The 16,322-nt window shown below is 46.0% G+C and overlaps 1 protein-coding gene across 4 annotated transcripts in view, besides 2 other annotated features; it reads left to right on the top strand.

Annotated features, from left to right (window-relative positions):
* The window catches only part of TESMIN (testis expressed metallothionein like protein), a 46,725-nt gene extending 34,139 nt beyond the window's left edge, over positions 1-12,586 (top strand). For 2 of the 4 annotated variants that reach the window (XM_017018588.2, XM_011545402.2), the window contains 5 exons: positions 1,443-1,545; positions 3,975-4,112; positions 6,333-6,508; positions 8,882-9,016; positions 10,046-12,586. In XM_017018588.2, the coding sequence (XP_016874077.1) occupies positions 1,443-1,545; positions 3,975-4,112; positions 6,333-6,508; positions 8,882-9,016; positions 10,046-10,136 (643 nt within the window). In that variant the 3' untranslated portion in view covers positions 10,137-12,586. Of the gene's footprint in view, positions 1-1,442; positions 1,546-3,974; positions 4,113-6,332; positions 6,509-8,881; positions 9,943-10,045 lie in introns of those variants that run through there. The other 2 variants (XM_047427921.1, NM_004923.3) reach the window with 2 other exon arrangements.
* Positions 4,592-5,092: an enhancer, noted in NCBI's record as "H3K27ac hESC enhancer chr11:68479758-68480258 (GRCh37/hg19 assembly coordinates)". NCBI's record gives its function as "activates a minimal SCP1, AML or CMV promoter by ChIP-STARR-seq in naive H9 embryonic stem cells {active_cell/tissue: H9 hESC(naive)}" and the evidence as "EXISTENCE:reporter gene assay evidence [ECO:0000049][PMID:30033119]".
* Positions 9,905-10,663: an enhancer, noted in NCBI's record as "H3K27ac-H3K4me1 hESC enhancer chr11:68474187-68474945 (GRCh37/hg19 assembly coordinates)". NCBI's record gives its function as "activates a minimal SCP1, AML or CMV promoter by ChIP-STARR-seq in naive and primed H9 embryonic stem cells {active_cell/tissue: H9 hESC(naive and primed)}" and the evidence as "EXISTENCE:reporter gene assay evidence [ECO:0000049][PMID:30033119]".
* Positions 12,587-16,322: the final 3,736 nt, after the last annotated feature.

Raw genomic sequence — 16,322 nt, 5'->3', positions numbered from 1 at the left:
AGGGGTCTCTGGTCTGATGCCCAGACTTTGTCTCCTGTCTGCTGCACATTGGAACCCAAGCTCCGGGTCCCTAGGGACTGGCAGATGCCCCAGGGCAGCACTTAGCTGCTGCAGAACTCGCCTCTCTGGGTTCACAATTTCTTGTCTTTTTGGCCTCTAATGATCCTCTTTACTTTCCTGTTGACTTGACATTAAAATATTATTTTAAAATATGAAAATAATAATTATGAAAAGAATTGTGTTTGGGAATTCTGCCCCAGAGAGGTTTCTGCAGACCTCTGGTCTCCTGCACGGCCCTCGCCGTGTTCCTGCAGCACTATGGGAAGCTTCACACGCCCAGGGTTTCCCTCAGCAGCGCTTTGGGACTGGGAGGCTGAGCACCACGATTCCCACTCTACAGCTTGCAAAGCTGACTGGCACATGGGGAGAAGGCGGCAGAGCCGATGTGGAAAACGAGTTGGAAGCTCTTTTCGATGAACCATGCTCACAGAAGACAGTGACAGGGGTCTTCTCTGGTCACAGGTGGAAGCCATGGGGTGGCTCTCTGGGGCGCGGGTCATAGGTGGCACAGTAGGAGTCCTTGCCTTGATGCTACATTTTCACATGAGTTAAGGAGAGCGTCGCCCTTGCCCATCCCAGTAAGGGTAAAGCGCGTGCCTGTAAACACCTCTCTGCCTTACAATGCAGGAGCAGGCGTCTTACAAGACCTTGGGAGGGAGACTGGCTGCCAGCACTGGCGGCTCTCCCAGGAAGCCCTCAGAGCCAATCCACAGCACTGCCACCCACCTGTGTGGCCCCAGGAGTCACAGGGCATGGTGGTGTCCACTCCAAGGGCCTCACTAGACTCAGGATTCTCGAACAACCCTCGCATTACAACCAAGAGGTGTGACTGCAGCCGCCTCATCCATTCCTTTCCTCTGCCATTCACTTCCCCCTCACAGAATGAAAGCGAGTTAAGGCCTAGGCCAGGTTCCACCTCTGGGTCCCATTAGTTTTCACTCAAAGTCAAGGTCTGGTGAAGAAGTGAACACACCTTCAGTCATGTTGGATGGACTGGGGAAGTTGATGGGGACAGCTCTTCATTACTTGATGTTTCTGCCCACCAAACTTATTGCGCTCCTGGGAAAATGGCGGAGGGCAATTAGGGGCCAGGGAGGATTGATTGATGCAATGGATTTGACAGGAAATTGTTTTGCTTTGCAAAATCCTATATTATGAAACAAATGGTTTTAACTAGTTTTACTCCCTTCTGTGTTAGTCACTGGTGAGCATTATCCTAGTTGATCTAGTTCTCATATAAAAGGAGTCTGAGCCGTCTATGAAAGTGTTCAGTGTTCTGACTGCAGCACACTGCCCGCTCTTTCCTTACACGTGTGTGCTCTTCTTTTCACTACTCACTGTGCCGTCTGTGCCTGCCACTCACTCTGTCCTTTCCTTCACAGGTACTGTGACTGCTTTGCCAGTGGGGACTTTTGCAACAACTGCAATTGTAATAATTGTTGCAACAACTTGCATCATGATATTGAACGGTTTAAAGCCATTAAGGTAATAAATGTCCATTAAATGTATGCATTTTAAAAGCATTTCAAACTGTTTGAGATGTTCATAAAATCACCTTCAGAGATTCCTCATTGGAAAAAACCCACAGTTTTGAAGAATTTACATTGAATACAACTTGATTCCTGCCGGTGGGGGTATTGAACCACGACAAGCGGCTGTTGTAAAAGTGGTAGGCAGAGAAAGGCCTTTTCCCTTTTATTATGTGGGAAGGCTTCAGAGATGCAGCAGTCTAGGAAGGTTCTGATTCAAGAACATGCGAATGTCCACTTTATCTTGGAGTTTAGACATTTGGGGTCATCTTACATAGCAGATAAGCATGAGCTGGAGCAGTGTAGCCGCAAAGGTGTAGACAGTCCACTGCGTGAGAAGGCTAGGGGAAAGTGATCAGGCAGCCTACATTTTCAATTGTAAAATTTAACAATTTAAATTTCACCCCTCAGCTTCCAGAAAAAGAGAAGAATCTAGGTTTTCCCAGAGACGCAAAAGGTTACTTTGATGCCCCCGATGGCCACTCTGCTGAAGGCTAAACACAGGAGCTTGCAGCTTTTATCCCTTTCTTTAGGCACAAAAGATAATCAGGGATAAAGGAGGGACAGTTAGGCTCAAGGCTGTCAACCTACTCCAGGGAGACACTTCCGGTGCCCACTCATTCACGAAGGGAAATTGAGAGCCATTGACTGTAGACCTGAGAATGTCCTGTGCAAATAGAACACAATTATAAGGGTGTGGCTGCTCTCTGCATTGTTTTCTAAAATAATTTAATTCTCCTCTTGAATTATGGATAAATGACTTGAAATATCTAACCAATTTTGATATAGCCAGAGCCATAGGACAGAAGAAAATTGTCACGCATGTAAACTTTAGTACATTTTATTTAGGGATAAAGAATACTATCTACAGTTAAAACTGTAAAAACAAAAAGGGTTGGAATTTTCATACATTGCTGATAGGCATATAAAGGGGCACAACCACTTCGGGAAACTGTTTGACAATAGCTACCAAAACTAAACCTTTGTGTATGCTATGATCCAGCCATTTCCTTCCTACAAATATAGCCAATAGAAGCAAGCGCCAATGTCCACTGGGAGATTTGTACGGGAATGTTCACAGCAGCTTCATTCAGAGTAGCCAGGCACTGGAAACAGCCCAAATGTCCATCCGTGGTAGAATGGATGAATTGATGCATTGATGAAAAGCAGGAGCTACAGCTAAGCGCAGCAGTGCGGACGGACCTCCTAGTTGTTATCTGAGGGAGGCAGCCGACACGGGAGTACAAGCTGTGGGATTCCACTTACCTGAGGCACCAGCATAGGCAAACCTAAAGCCCTCTATGTCTGAAGAGCATTCCCCGCGGGGGTGCACCGCTGAGGAGGAGTCACAAGGCAACCTGTGGGGCCGCCTGTCCTCTAACTTGACCTTGGTAGCAGGTACACAGGTGTGCACAGGTACACAGGTGTGCACACATGCACAAGATCATCATGCCACAGCTGCAGATGTGTGCCTCCACTGCCTGTCACACTTCAGTGATCCGTGAAAATGCCTAAAGCCGCGCACCGCAGGCTGGGGCTGTCCAGCAGCACATTCTGTAGCGATGGCCCTGTGCTAGGGGCCGTGCTGCTGGACAGCACCGATTCCAAATGTCAACCCCAGGAAGCGGAACGGAGGCCACAGACTTCCACTGTGACCTCTGTATTTGAATTTTTACAAAGAGCGTTGAATTGTTTTGTATGTAAAGATATGTATGTATTTGTGTGTATAGATAGATTAAAAAGGGACAACAAATAGACCTGGATAACATATCGTGTGTATTGCTTGGGAAAGGCATGGCCCAGCGGTTGAGACCTGCTTTGAAGTCAGCACAGGGACTTTGAATCAGGATCTCGCCACTTACCAGCAGTTATTTAACCTCTCGGTGCCTGGGTTTCTCCGGGTATAAAACAATCATACGTTAGTTGCTGAGGATTAAATGAGAGGGCATGTATATATAAATCCCATGGAAAGAAGCCTGGCACATGGTGTGTTGAGTTGTGATCAGGCAGTGTGAGCTGCTAGTATGGTCCACGGTCTCAACCATCTTAGGAAAGAGGGCCCCAGAAATGCTGGATGGAAATGTGTCCACACGGAAATAATGATTTTCTTTGCATCTTTACCATCTATTATTTTTTTACAGTAAATATGTAAGACTTGGAAACTCAGAAAACAAAACATGAAGAAACCTTAGCTACAATATATCTTTTTGTGTATGGAAACAAATGGAAATCAAACAAGAAGGGGCTGCACCTTCTGAACCATGTCAAGAGACTCTGTTTATTGTGGCATCTTTTACAACAATCAGATTCAAATGAGATGCCCTTCATTGAGCTGAGTTTTAAATGATAAAATCCATCCTGATGGAGCTTCCCATTCTACCCTAGGCATGTCTTGGTAGAAATCCAGAAGCTTTCCAGCCAAAAATTGGGAAGGGCCAATTGGGCAATGTCAAGCCCCAGCACAACAAAGGGTGCAACTGCAGGAGGTCAGGCTGCCTGAAGAATTACTGCGAGTGCTATGAGGTTAGTGCCCAGCTCCCTAACTCACTAACAAAAAACACAGGTAAATATGTTGAGTAACTTTTGTGGTTAAAAAAACTTTGCTGTAATTTAAAAAGATAAATATAATTATTTTTTTCTTCCAGAGTTTCTAGAAGGACACTTACATCAATCTGAATTAATTTCCCAAATACAGCTGAGCTTTGTGAACCGGGTCAATTTGCTGAGGGCTCCTTTTGGAGCATGTTGCTTCCCCTGAGCCCAGCCCTGAGTACCCAGTGAGGGTGCCCTCTGCGTGGCTTTGTCCCTCTGTGGCCACTGATCCACGCTGGTCCTCCAACAGGGTGGAAGCTCCCGGAGGGCAGCCGCGCCTCTTCCTCCCTGAGCAAAGCCCAGGTGCTCTAGGTGGGGCCGTGGGGGACAGTTTGGCCTCAAAGTCTCAGTCAGTTCCAAGTCCCTGTGGCGCTTGTCCCCAGACATCCATTCACCTGGTGCTTTGACCAAGGGTAGCTCCTCCCTGGCTCACAGCCCCATCAGAGACCAGAATGGACAGCCAGCCTAAGCCAATGGAGAGAGGCTAACAAAGCAAGCTGCAGATCACGGCCTGGACAAAAGCTTTTTCTTTTCCCAAAGATTAATGAGGACCCACTTTCCCCTTCAGTGCTGTCGCAGTTTCACCTCTCTTTGCTATTTCTCTTTTCCTTTGTGTTGAGGGAAAGGAGGAAAGAGAAAGTGAGGGAACCCTTAGGCCCTATCAGGGGAACAGCCGAGCAAACCTTCCTTACAAACCTCTGTTTTGGTTTGCTTGAGGTCTTTTGGGGGTTCCTGTGAATTATACTTTTCAAAGGCTGTCTGTCACAGAGGGTTGGGCTTGAGAACAGTCCACCTGATTCTGGAGACATGCACTGAAAGACCTGGGAAGGTGGACCCCACACTCCCCAGCTCGGATGTGGAAAACACAGTCAAAACACGACAGAGATGCACAGTTGAAATGGGACTGACATCACCCCCGAGGAACCACTTCCAATCGCACCCACAGCAGCTCCTCTGTCCTGCAAAACACCTTCACTGGCTGCCATGGAACTGTGGCTCAGCCCACTTCCCCAAGGCAGAGCCTATGCTGGGCACAGCCCACAGAATGTGCAGGCTCAGAGGAAAGGGATAGCACTGCCCTTTAGTCTCTGGCATTCGTGTAGACTAGAAACTCTATAAAGCCTCCTGCTTCAAAACACCCAGAGGTGCAGATGAAACAGAACGCATCCCCCTGAAGATGCATCTCTCAGCTGGAAAGAACAGAGGGAAATCCCCGGGGGGCTGAAGGAAAGAGAAAGCCAAAAACCATAGTGATTGGCAGTGCCAGCTCTTGGTCAGCCCCTGGGGCCCACATGAGCAAGAATTTGGCATGAGGGGGCAAGAGGGGGCTTGCTGGGTACAGATGGGACATGCCGGCCCCCTCAGCATCACATTGCCAGGAAAAGCTTGAAACAAAATCCACCCACAAGGCAGCAGGAGAGGTCTCCCCTGACAGCTCCCAGCCACAGGCCTGCTCTCAGGCAGATTTCGAATTCTACTCTCTTGTACATTCTCTGCACCCATAGAACCAGCATAATAGCCTCACATGCTGAAAGAGAACCATAAGCTAGAGTTTTATAATCAGCTAAGGCAGGCTTTCTTCAAAACAAGTCAAAGAAGCAGCCTGCTGGCTCCCGGGTAGAGAAGGGAGAGCAACACCCTCTCTCTGCTTGGGACTCACACCCATACACTCGGCCTCCACTCTGTCAGCAGCAGGACTATGGCATCTCCACAACAGCAGCACTTGATGAAAACTGCAGGTCACACACACACACACACTCTCAAACGCACACATTCAAACACACACAGTCACACACACATTCACATTCACTCACACATATACACACACATACCCAAACCCCACATACACTCATGCACACACACGCACACTCGACACACACACACCCCACACACACTCATATACACGCTCAACACACACACACTCTTACACATTCACACTCAACACACACACACCCCACACACACTCATACACACACTCACGTTCAACACACGCTCTCACCCACACATTCACACTCAACACACACAGACACACACACACTCTCTGTCATGGGCAAATATACGCGAAGAATTATTTAAGGTCCAAATAGAATTTGTCAGTTTTTGATGACTTGTGAGACAACCTAATTTTATTGAAGCATTTTATATTACCAGGCCCAAATTATGTGTTCTTCTATTTGCAAATGCATTGGTTGCAAAAATTATGAAGAAAGCCCAGAACGAAAGACACTAATGAGCATGCCAAACTACATGCAGACTGGAGGTTTGGAAGGCAGCCATTACCTGCCACCAACGAAATTTTCAGGACTTCCAAGATTCAGTCACGATAGGTAGGTACTTTGAACTAACCTCTGCTAATAGAGGGAACAGAGGTTAATTTGAGAGGAGAATTAACGACAATTTATACACTGGAAAGAATGTGTGAGCCTGCAGGGGCGGGCGTGTGTTTGGGGGCAGAGGGAAGTCGTTCCTCCCTCCATGGGCTAATCCTGGGTGGCCACTGTGTTTCCTTAGAGGCCCCGCTGCAGAAACCTGTTTTGTCCTCTTTGTCTTCTCATCCTCACTGTCTGAGTTACTCCCGTTTTGTACCAGACAAAAGAGCCCTGCTGCCAGGATCACCAGCAGGGCTAGCAGAGTTCTGACACTGCCTTTGCGTTAATATAGAGCCACAACGACCCAGCGCAGCAAAGACAGTGCGTACCTCCCTATCCTTTATCGTGGGAAGTGGCAGCAAAGAGCTGTACTTGGTCCAGATTGTTTTCCTTACTAAGCAGTTGTGGATCCGGATTAGTTGGATAATTTTGCATTTATCAGTTTTGAAGCCACATTGTAATCCTAGTAGTTCTCAAAGTTGAGTCATAGTTTTACTATCTATTAGATTCCATTCATTTGTTTAAAAAAAACTTCGAGTTCAATGTAATGGTCATATCATGATAAACTACCAGATGTCATTAATTAATATTTTGCAAAGCCAAATTCATGCTTATTTGGTTAGAGAGATATCAGAAATACTCATGATTGTGACCTACAGGGGTCTTTTTTTTGAGACCAGGGCTTTCACTCAGTTGCTCAGGCTGGAGTGCAGTGGTGCGATCACAGCTCACGCAGCCTCAACCTCCCCAGGTTCAGGTGATCCTCCCACCTCAGCCTCCTGAGTAGCTGGGACTACAGGCACGCACCACCACATCCGGCTGATTTTTCTACTTTTTGTAGAGATGGGGTCTCGCCATATTGGTCTCGAACTCCTGAACTGTGATTCATCCACCTCTGAGTCCCAAACTGCTGAGATTACAGGCGTAAGCCACCGCACCCAGCTGACCCACAGAGGTCTTTATCAGTAAAAATTTACCAAAACCTGGCTGCATTGTCTGTGAAGTGATGTGTGAAAATGTCATCGCCTGCAGCAGGATGTGTGTTCTGTGGAGTCCGGTGGGGGCCTGTACATTGGAGCCTCGTCTTGCAGTGTTAGCAGCCCTTCTTTTCCCAAGGGCAGCCCTATCTTTTCTTCTTCAACCAAAGTCATCGTGTATTGTCTTTATAGAGAGACTTTAATCCAACATTTTGCTTTATTTTTATAATCCAACACTTTTTAATGTTTTATAAAGCTTTCCTGAAAATTTTTCGACTTAGCGCCACCTGGGTTGCTATCTAGCTAAGCCACAGTTGCCCCCTGAGCTCAGTGGGGAGAATAGCTGGCGCTATGTGATGCGGTTCAACTTGTCTTCCAGAACCTCTTTCACAGCTCCAAGCGGCATTGATGGGGAAGGCTGTCCTGACAGCAGGACCCCAAGGTTTGACAGGCGAGTCCTCAGAACCTTGGCCTTCTCTGGCTGCACGTGGGCCTGCGGGGAGGACAGGCAGACACCCAGCGTGGACAGGACTCAGAGCAAAGCTGCTCGGCTTGTCCCCGTGCCCTGCCTCAGCCAAGAGTCCTGCTTCTGCAATTTCCTGCCTGGCCCACGTGCTTGACACTGTAGCCCGGGATCCTCTGGGTTCGTCAGTGAATCTAATTTTGAGGAAATTTCAAACCCGCCATGAGAGGCATGTCAAAAACGGACAGATTTACTTGTCCTCTGTGTTATTCTTCTAAAACCAGTTAATCCTTTCTTTCTTTTCTTTTCTTTCTTTTTTTTTTTTTTTAAGACAGGGTCTCCGCCGGGTGTGGTGGCTCACGCCTGTAATCCTAACACTTTGAGAGGCCGAGGAGGGCAGATCATGAGGTCAGGAGATCGAGACCATCCTGGCCAACATGGCAAAACCCTGTCTCTACTAAAAATACAAAAATTAGCCAGGTGTGGTGGTGCATGCCTGTGATCCCAGCTACTCAGGAGGCTGAGGCAGGAGAATCACTTGAACCAGGGAGTTGGAGGTTGCAGTGAGCCGAGATCGTGCCATTGCACTCCAGCCTGGCAACAGAGCAGGACTCAGTATCAAAAAAAAAAAAAGGGTCTCACTTTGTTGCCCAGGCTGGTCTCAAACTCCTGGCTTCAGACCATCCTCCTGCCTTGGCCTCCCAAGGTGCTGGGATTACAGACCACTGTGCCCAGCCTAATAGTTTCCAGTATGAGGAAGACAACGTTAGATTTTAGTGGATGATGTTCTTTAAAATAGCATGGACAAGCAATGTTCTGTTGAATATAAATAGTACTGTAGGTAGAAATGGTGCACTGTTGAGCGGCCTTTAACTGCTCTGTTTCTGACAGGCGGCCTTCCTCATGCATCTCCTGGGAGGTGGTGGAGGCCACATGCGCCTGCCTGCTTGCTCAGGGAGAAGAGGCCGAGAAAGAACACTGCTCCAAGTGCCTGGCAGAGCAGATGATCCTGGAGGAATTTGGAAGGTGCTTATCACAGATTCTCCACACTGAGTTTAAATCTAAGGGATTGAAAATGGAGTAGAGTATAAAGTGTGAATGCATGTTGATTTTGTCTTAGTCTAGAAATCTCTAGTTTAGAAAGGATGTTTAGGGGAACATGAGGCTGGCTCTGCAGCAACAACCAGGCTCCCCTGCATCCCTGGGCCCAGGGAGTTTACTCAGAGCTCTCTGAAGATGTGGCAACCCATGCCCCCTTTTCTGAGGAGGTGCATGGCCTGAGCATTGTTTGTCTGGCCCAGAGGAGAGAGCTTGGGTTCCCATAGTCCTGGGAGAGTGTCTGCAGGGCGGCGGAGGGCAGAGCAGGGCAGGGGAGGGCACAGCAGGCCCTGCGAAGGGCAGAGCGGGGCAGGGGAGGGCAGAGCAGGCCCTGCGGAGAGCTCACTCTGGTCGACTCTTCCTCTCAGAGAATGTTGCTCTGGAGGCTGCTCTGCATGAAAACCCTAATGGTTTCTTGTTTGTTTTTCAAATTATTTAGAAATAAGTTCTCCGGATGGGCTGTTGTGATACCACTTAAAATCTCTAGAGAACTACTGAACACCTAAAGATTTTCTGTAGCGTAGATATTTCCCCAGAGGCACGCGAACTGTCAGTCTTTCCTAAGGCCCCCGGGAGACGCAGGCAATGGGGCCTCGCAGGCCAGGCTTGCACCAGCATGTCTTGAGTTAGAGGACTTAAAATTATCCAGTTTCTTCTGTGTTTCTACTTGAATTGTGGAAAAGCTCTATTATCCAATTAACTTCTCCATAATTATTGTTGTAATATTATTATTGTTTGTAAAACATGGTTCACATAACTAGCTTGTGGAAACCAGCAGGTAAAATGAATTCTTAAGTTGACGCTTTTGGTTCTGTTGTAAAGCAAAGATGAATAAAAATTTCCAATGTCTTCAATTGTTGTCATTAACTTAGTAACTGAAAATGTGTTCATCTGATGAGTACCCACCCTGAAATGTATTGAGAGAATATTCTTTCATGTTTCTGCATTCATTACTAGTGTTGGCCACTTAGAGGGTGTTCAGGAAACTCAAGTACAAATGCAGCAGAGACAGAAGTGTGGCTGCCGGGCCCAGGCACTGGGCACATAAGTGAGCAAGCAACCAGGGAGGAAGCTGTCTTTTGTGGAGCTGTCTGGAACAGTCTAGTTGCAAACACAGCCACAGGAAGCCACAGAGGAGAAAAGGAAGACTGAATTCTTCCCCTTTGCAATTCCCTTTGGACCCCTGGGATCCAGAGTCTGTGGCAGAAAACCAGAGGTAAAGACATGCATTGTGAGACGTGGAACCCTCAGCCAGCCGTACACCCCACTTGCTGTGTGTGCTTTCAGTCCTGTCAGCATCGCGGCGAACAGGGAGGCGCACTGCTGGGGGAGCCACCTGGCCTCCTTCACCCTTGGGAGCTGGAAGGTGACCTGGAAATGGGGACTTTGGGAGCTGCCTCTGGGGGGGCTGCCTCCATCCTGCTGTCCCTCTCGGCAACACTGCCAACAGCAAGATCTGCCAGCCACATGAGTACTGTTAAAGTTTCTAGTAGCTACATGTAAAACTTTGAAAAGGAGCAGGTAAAATTAGTTTTAATAATCTTTTATTTATCCCAATGTATCCAAAATACTATCGTTTCAATGTGTAATCAGAATGAAAATGATTGAGATTTCACATTCCTTTATGTGTACCCAATATTTGAAATGCAGGGTGTCTTGTACTCACAGCAGGTCTCAGTTGGCACCAGCCACACCTTAAGGGTTCGGGCGCCTCAGCACAGCCCTGGGGCACCGAGTGGAGGGAGGAAAAGGGAACAATGTCCTCCAGCATTCTCCTGAGGCAACGGCTGCCTAGGGAGATCCTGAACCAGGTGTGGCCCACCCGCGGAGCCCAGAGGAAGTGTGAGCAGGGAACTCAGTGTGGGGCTGGGGATACAGGCCCCCCACTTTGCACAGGAGCCTGCGCTGGCCAAGGATGCTCTGACTGTGGCCAGGTGTACTGAGCTAACGCCTGGAGGTGAGGGAAGAGCCAACCTGGGCAGGCACGAGCCCTGCAGGGTCTTCCGGCAGAGAAGAATTCACTGAGTAGGTGCCACTTGCAGGGAATCCCGTCTGAGAAGTGAAAGCCGAGATACAGACGTGCATAAAGCCACTATGCTGACCAGAGACAGTACAGAAGATGACTACAAAGCTAGAAAATCCCATCTCTTATGTGTTTGGCGGAGAGCCAGTGCTATTTTAAAACGATATACAAATTAACATATCATGTTCTTATTTGAGAGTGTAGCTGTGCAAATTTAACCATATCTTTTTTTTTTTTTTTTTTTTTTTGAGACGGAGTCTCACTCTGTTGCCCAGGCTGAAGTGCAATGGCGCGATCTCGGCTCACTGCAACCTCCGCCTTCTGGGTTCAAGTGATTCTCCTGCCTCAGCCTCCTGAGTAGCTGAGATTACAGGCGCGCACCACCACGCCCGGCTAATTTTTGTATTTTTAGTAGAGGTGGGGTTTCACCATGTTGGCCAGGCTGGTCTTGAACTCCTGATCTCAGGTGATCCGCCCCCCTGGGCCTCCCAAAGAGCTGGGATTACAGGCGTGAGCCACCGCGCCCAGCCTTAACCATATCTTTCTACTCTGTACCTACTAAATAACTCGGACCACCTTTGTGATTAAGGTTAGATTATCTGTTGGTTTTGGGTTTTTGTTTTGTTTATCCGAAAGAAAAAAAAACCTTGTTTTTTCATAGACACGGAGAAGAAATCATTGTTTAGAATGACACGCGCTGAAATCGCTCTTTCCTGTCAGTGAACACAGGCTGCGCACTGCACAGAAAGTCTGGCGGCCAGGGAGCATCCTTAGGAGAGAAGGTGCTGTTGGCGGCGGAAGGTCAGCAGAAGGCTTGGTGTATTTTTCATCTCGGCTTGGATGCTCCTATCCCTTTACAAACCTCTCACCAGTACCTGAAGTTCTGCCAGCACTGGTCCCCTTTCAGTGTGGGCGCGGTTTCAAACCATAATAAACAAGTTATCGTAAGGAGTCAGTTAAAATACTGTCTTAGGGAATTCAAAGGTTGAACCCTCATCCAAGATAAAATGATCAGAGCAGCCAGAGGATCCAGAGAGCAGGAGGGGGCGCAGAAGACGAAGCAGGGAGGAGGCCTCCCGTTCTGCAGGCGGCGCGCTCTTTAGGAAGGCACCGGGCACAGCTTTGTGCATGGGGCCGGCTGTGCGGTCTCCGTGCTGCACTCTCTCCCCAGGAGTCCTTAGCCTCAGAGGAGGGAGGAAGCACGACAGGAGGGATCACCGTGAGGCATCTTCCCCCAGCCCTGCCTCCATCCTGCTCCCAACCCCCGGCCCCCGGCAGAGACTGGAGAGCCACAGGGAGCACTGCCCGGCCCCAGCCACCGATAAAACTGGAATTGAAGACTGTCATTGCATGGATGTTCTCTTCATATATTTAAAAATGACTATCAGGAAAAAGTTTGAGCCTCCTAAAAATGGTAGCTGGTTTGTTTTTCAACAACAAACTTTAATAAAAACTTTAATGTTTGATATTTTAAATTTTGCCTTGACTTTCAGGAAATTCAAAAGTAAATCTATTCAATACCAGAAATCACATTAGCCCAGGTTTAGGATTAACTGTCCCTCTCTTTTTTCCATAAAGCTTTACTTTTTTAAACATGCTTTTTATTTGTACTATTACATACATCTTTTACTGTAAACCATTTCATATGTTTGTTGGAAATAGATGGACTATAGAAACATTATTACCGAATTATGAAGACAGAGTCTGCAGTGACAACCTTTTTAATGATGATTCCCTAGAAATATATATATTTTAATAGAGGCAGAGTCTCACTCTGTTGCCTATGCTGTAGTGCTGTGGTGCGATCATAGCTCACTGCAGCCTCAAACTCCTGGCTTCAAGCAATGCTCCCAGGTAGCTAGAACTACAGGCTCACACCATCATACTCAGCTAAGTTTCTGTATTTTTATTTTTTGTAGAGACAGGGTCTTGCTATATTGCCCAGGCCTCAAACTCCTAGCCTCAAATGATCTTCCCTCCTTGACCTCCTGAAGCACTGAGATTACAGGTGTGAGCCACCATGCTGGGTCTCTATTTATTTATTTTTTTTACTAGAGTATTTTTTAGGGTAGTTTTAGGTTCACAGCAAAACTGAGCAGAAAGTGCAGAGATTTCCCATATAATCCATGCCCCCCAACACCGCAGCCTCCCCACTACCAACATTCCTCACCAGAGCCGTCCTTTTGTTACAACTGATGAACCTACAGTGATACACCATCATCCAAAGTGATACACCACAAACCCAAAGCCCATGCTGACGTTAGGATTCCCTCTCGTTATTCCACATGCTATGGGTTTTGACAAATGTACAATGGCACATATCCAGGGTTACAGCACACAGAACAGTCTCACTGCCCTAAACCACCCCTGTGCTCTGCCTGTTCATCCTTCCCTCCCCACAACTCCTGGCAATCACTGATATTTTCACTCTCTCCACAGTTTTACCTTTCCCAGAATGTCACTTAAGTGGGATCATACAGTAGGTCGCCTCTTCAGACTAGCTTCTTTCACTTAGTAATATGCATTTATGTCCTTCATATCTTTTCATGGCTTGATAGCTCATCTCCTTTTAGCACTGAATAATATTCCATTGTCTGGATATACCACTGTTCATCCCTTCCCCTCCTGAAGAACATCTGAGTTGCTTCCAAGTTTGGGCAACTCGGAATAAAGCTGCTGTAAATATCTGTATGTAGGTTTCTGTGTGGATGCAAGTTTTTAATGCCTTTGGGTAAACATCAATGGATTTACCCAATGATTCTGGATCATGTAATAAGAATATATTTAGTTTTGCATGAAACCACTATCTTCTTCCAAAGAAGCTGTTTCATTGAGTATTCCCACCAGCAGTGAATGAGAGTTTCTGTGGCTCCGCCTCCTCACCAACACATAGCGTTGTCAGTGTTTGGGATTTTGCCGGTTCTAATAGGTGTGTACTGGTATCTCATTGCCATTTTAATTTGCAGTTCCCCAGTGACATATGATGTTGAGCATATGTCCATATGCATACTTGCCAACTGCATATCTTCTTTGGTGAGATGTCAGTTGAGGTCTTTTGCTCATTGTTTAATTGGGTTGTTTCTTTTCTTATTGTTGGGTTTTAAGAATTCTTTGTATATTTTGGATAACAGTCCTTTATTAGATACGTCCTTTGCAAATATTTTCTCCCAGTCTGTGGCTTGTCTCCTCACTCTCCTGACAGTGTATTTTGCAGAACGGAAGTTTTTAATAAAGTCCAGCTCATCAATTTTTTTTTTCGTGGATCATGCCTTTGGCATAGTGTCTAAAAAATCATTGCCATATCCAGACCATCCATACTTTCTCCTGTGTTATCTTCTAGGGATTTTATTTTATTTTATTTTATTTTTGAGATGGAGTCTCTCTCTGTCCCCCAGGATGGAGTGCAGTGGGGCAATCTCAGCTCACTGCAACCTCCGCCTCCTGAGTTCAAGTGAGGCGACCCTCCTGCCTCAGCCTCCTGAGTAGCTGGGATTACAGGCGCCTGCTACCACACCTGGCTAAGTTTTGTATTTTTAGTAGAGACGGGGTTTCACCATGTTGGCCAGGCTGGTCTCGAACTCCTGACCTCAAGCAATCCTCCCACCTTGGCCTCCCAAAGTGCTAGGATTACACGTGTGAGTCACTGCACCTGGCCAATCTTCTAGGAATTTTATAGTTTACAACTTACATTTAGGTCTATGATCTATTTTGAATGAATTTTTGTGAGAGGGATAAGAGGCTTTATCTAGTCTTTTTTTGCATATGAATGTTCAGTTGTTTTGGCACCTTCTGTCAGAAAGGCTGTCTTTTCTCCATGGTATTGCTTTTGTTCCTTTGTCAGATATCAGTTGGCTCTATTTGTATGAGTCTGGGCCCTCTATTCTGTTCCATTGATCTATTTTTCTATTCTTTTACTAACACCACACCATCTTGATTACTGTAGCTTTATAGTAGCCTTCCAACTTTGTTCTTTTCTTTCCATTTTTTTTTTTTTGGCTATTCTGGGTCTTTAGGCTCTCCACATAAACTTTAGAATCAGGTTTTTTGTTTGTTTGTTTGTTTGTTTGTTGTTTTTGAGACAAGATCTCACTATGTTGTCCAAGTTGGAGTGCAGTGGCATGTGATCATAGCTCATTGCAGCATTGACCTCCCAGACTCAACTGATCCTCCTGCCTCAGCCTCCTGAGCAGCTGGGACCACAGGTGTACATCACCATGCCTGGCTAATTTTTTTTATTATTTATAGAGACAAGGTCTCACTATGTTGCCCAGGGTGGTCTCAAACTCCTGGGCTCAAGCGATCCTCCTGCCTTGGCCTCACAGAGTGCTGGGATTATAGGCATGAGCCACCATGCCTGGCCCAGGAATCAGTTTTTTGCTATCCACAAAATAACTTGCCAGAATTGTTATTGGAATTGTGTTGAATTTATACATCAGATTTGGAAGAACTAATATTTGACAATATTGAGTCTTCCTATCCACAAGCATGGAATATTTCTCCATTTATTTAGCTCTGTATTTATTTCTTTCATCAGAGTTATATAGTTTTCCTCATATAGGTTTTGGTAAATGCATGCCTAAGTATTACATTTTTGGGAGGTGCTAACGTAAGTGGTATTGCATTTTTAATTTCAAATTTTACTTGTTCATTGCTGGTATATAGGAAAGCTATTGACTTTTGTTTATTAACCTTGTATCCTGCAACTTTGCTATAATTGCTTATTAATTCCAGGACATTTGTTGTTGTTGTTGATGATACTTTTAGAGTTCTACATAGATGATCATGACGTCTGCAAACAAAGCTTTATTTATTCCTTCCCAATCTGTAAACTTCGTATATCCTTTTCTTATCTTATTGCATTAACTAGGCATTCCAGTACAATGTTTAAAAGAGTGATGAGAGGGGACATCTTTGGCTTCTTTTCTCACTATTAATTATGATATTAGCTGTAGGTTTTCAGTAGGTGTTCTTTACCATGTTGACAAAATTCGCCTCTATTTCTAGTTCTTATTAGGAATGGGTGTTAGACTTTGTAAAATGCTATTTCTGTGTGCATTGATATAATTAATGGATCTTTCTTCTTTAGCTTGTTGATTTGATTAATTACATCAATTGATTTTTGAATGTTAAACCAGCTTTGCATACCTGTGATAAATTCCACTTACTCATGGCATATAATTTTCTTTACACATTGTTGGATTTAACTTGCTA

Source organism: Homo sapiens, chromosome 11, assembly GCF_000001405.40.
Source record: "Homo sapiens chromosome 11, GRCh38.p14 Primary Assembly".
Classification (NCBI taxonomy): Eukaryota; Metazoa; Chordata; class Mammalia; order Primates; family Hominidae; genus Homo; species Homo sapiens.
This window is presented reverse-complemented; position numbering and strand designations above follow the sequence as displayed.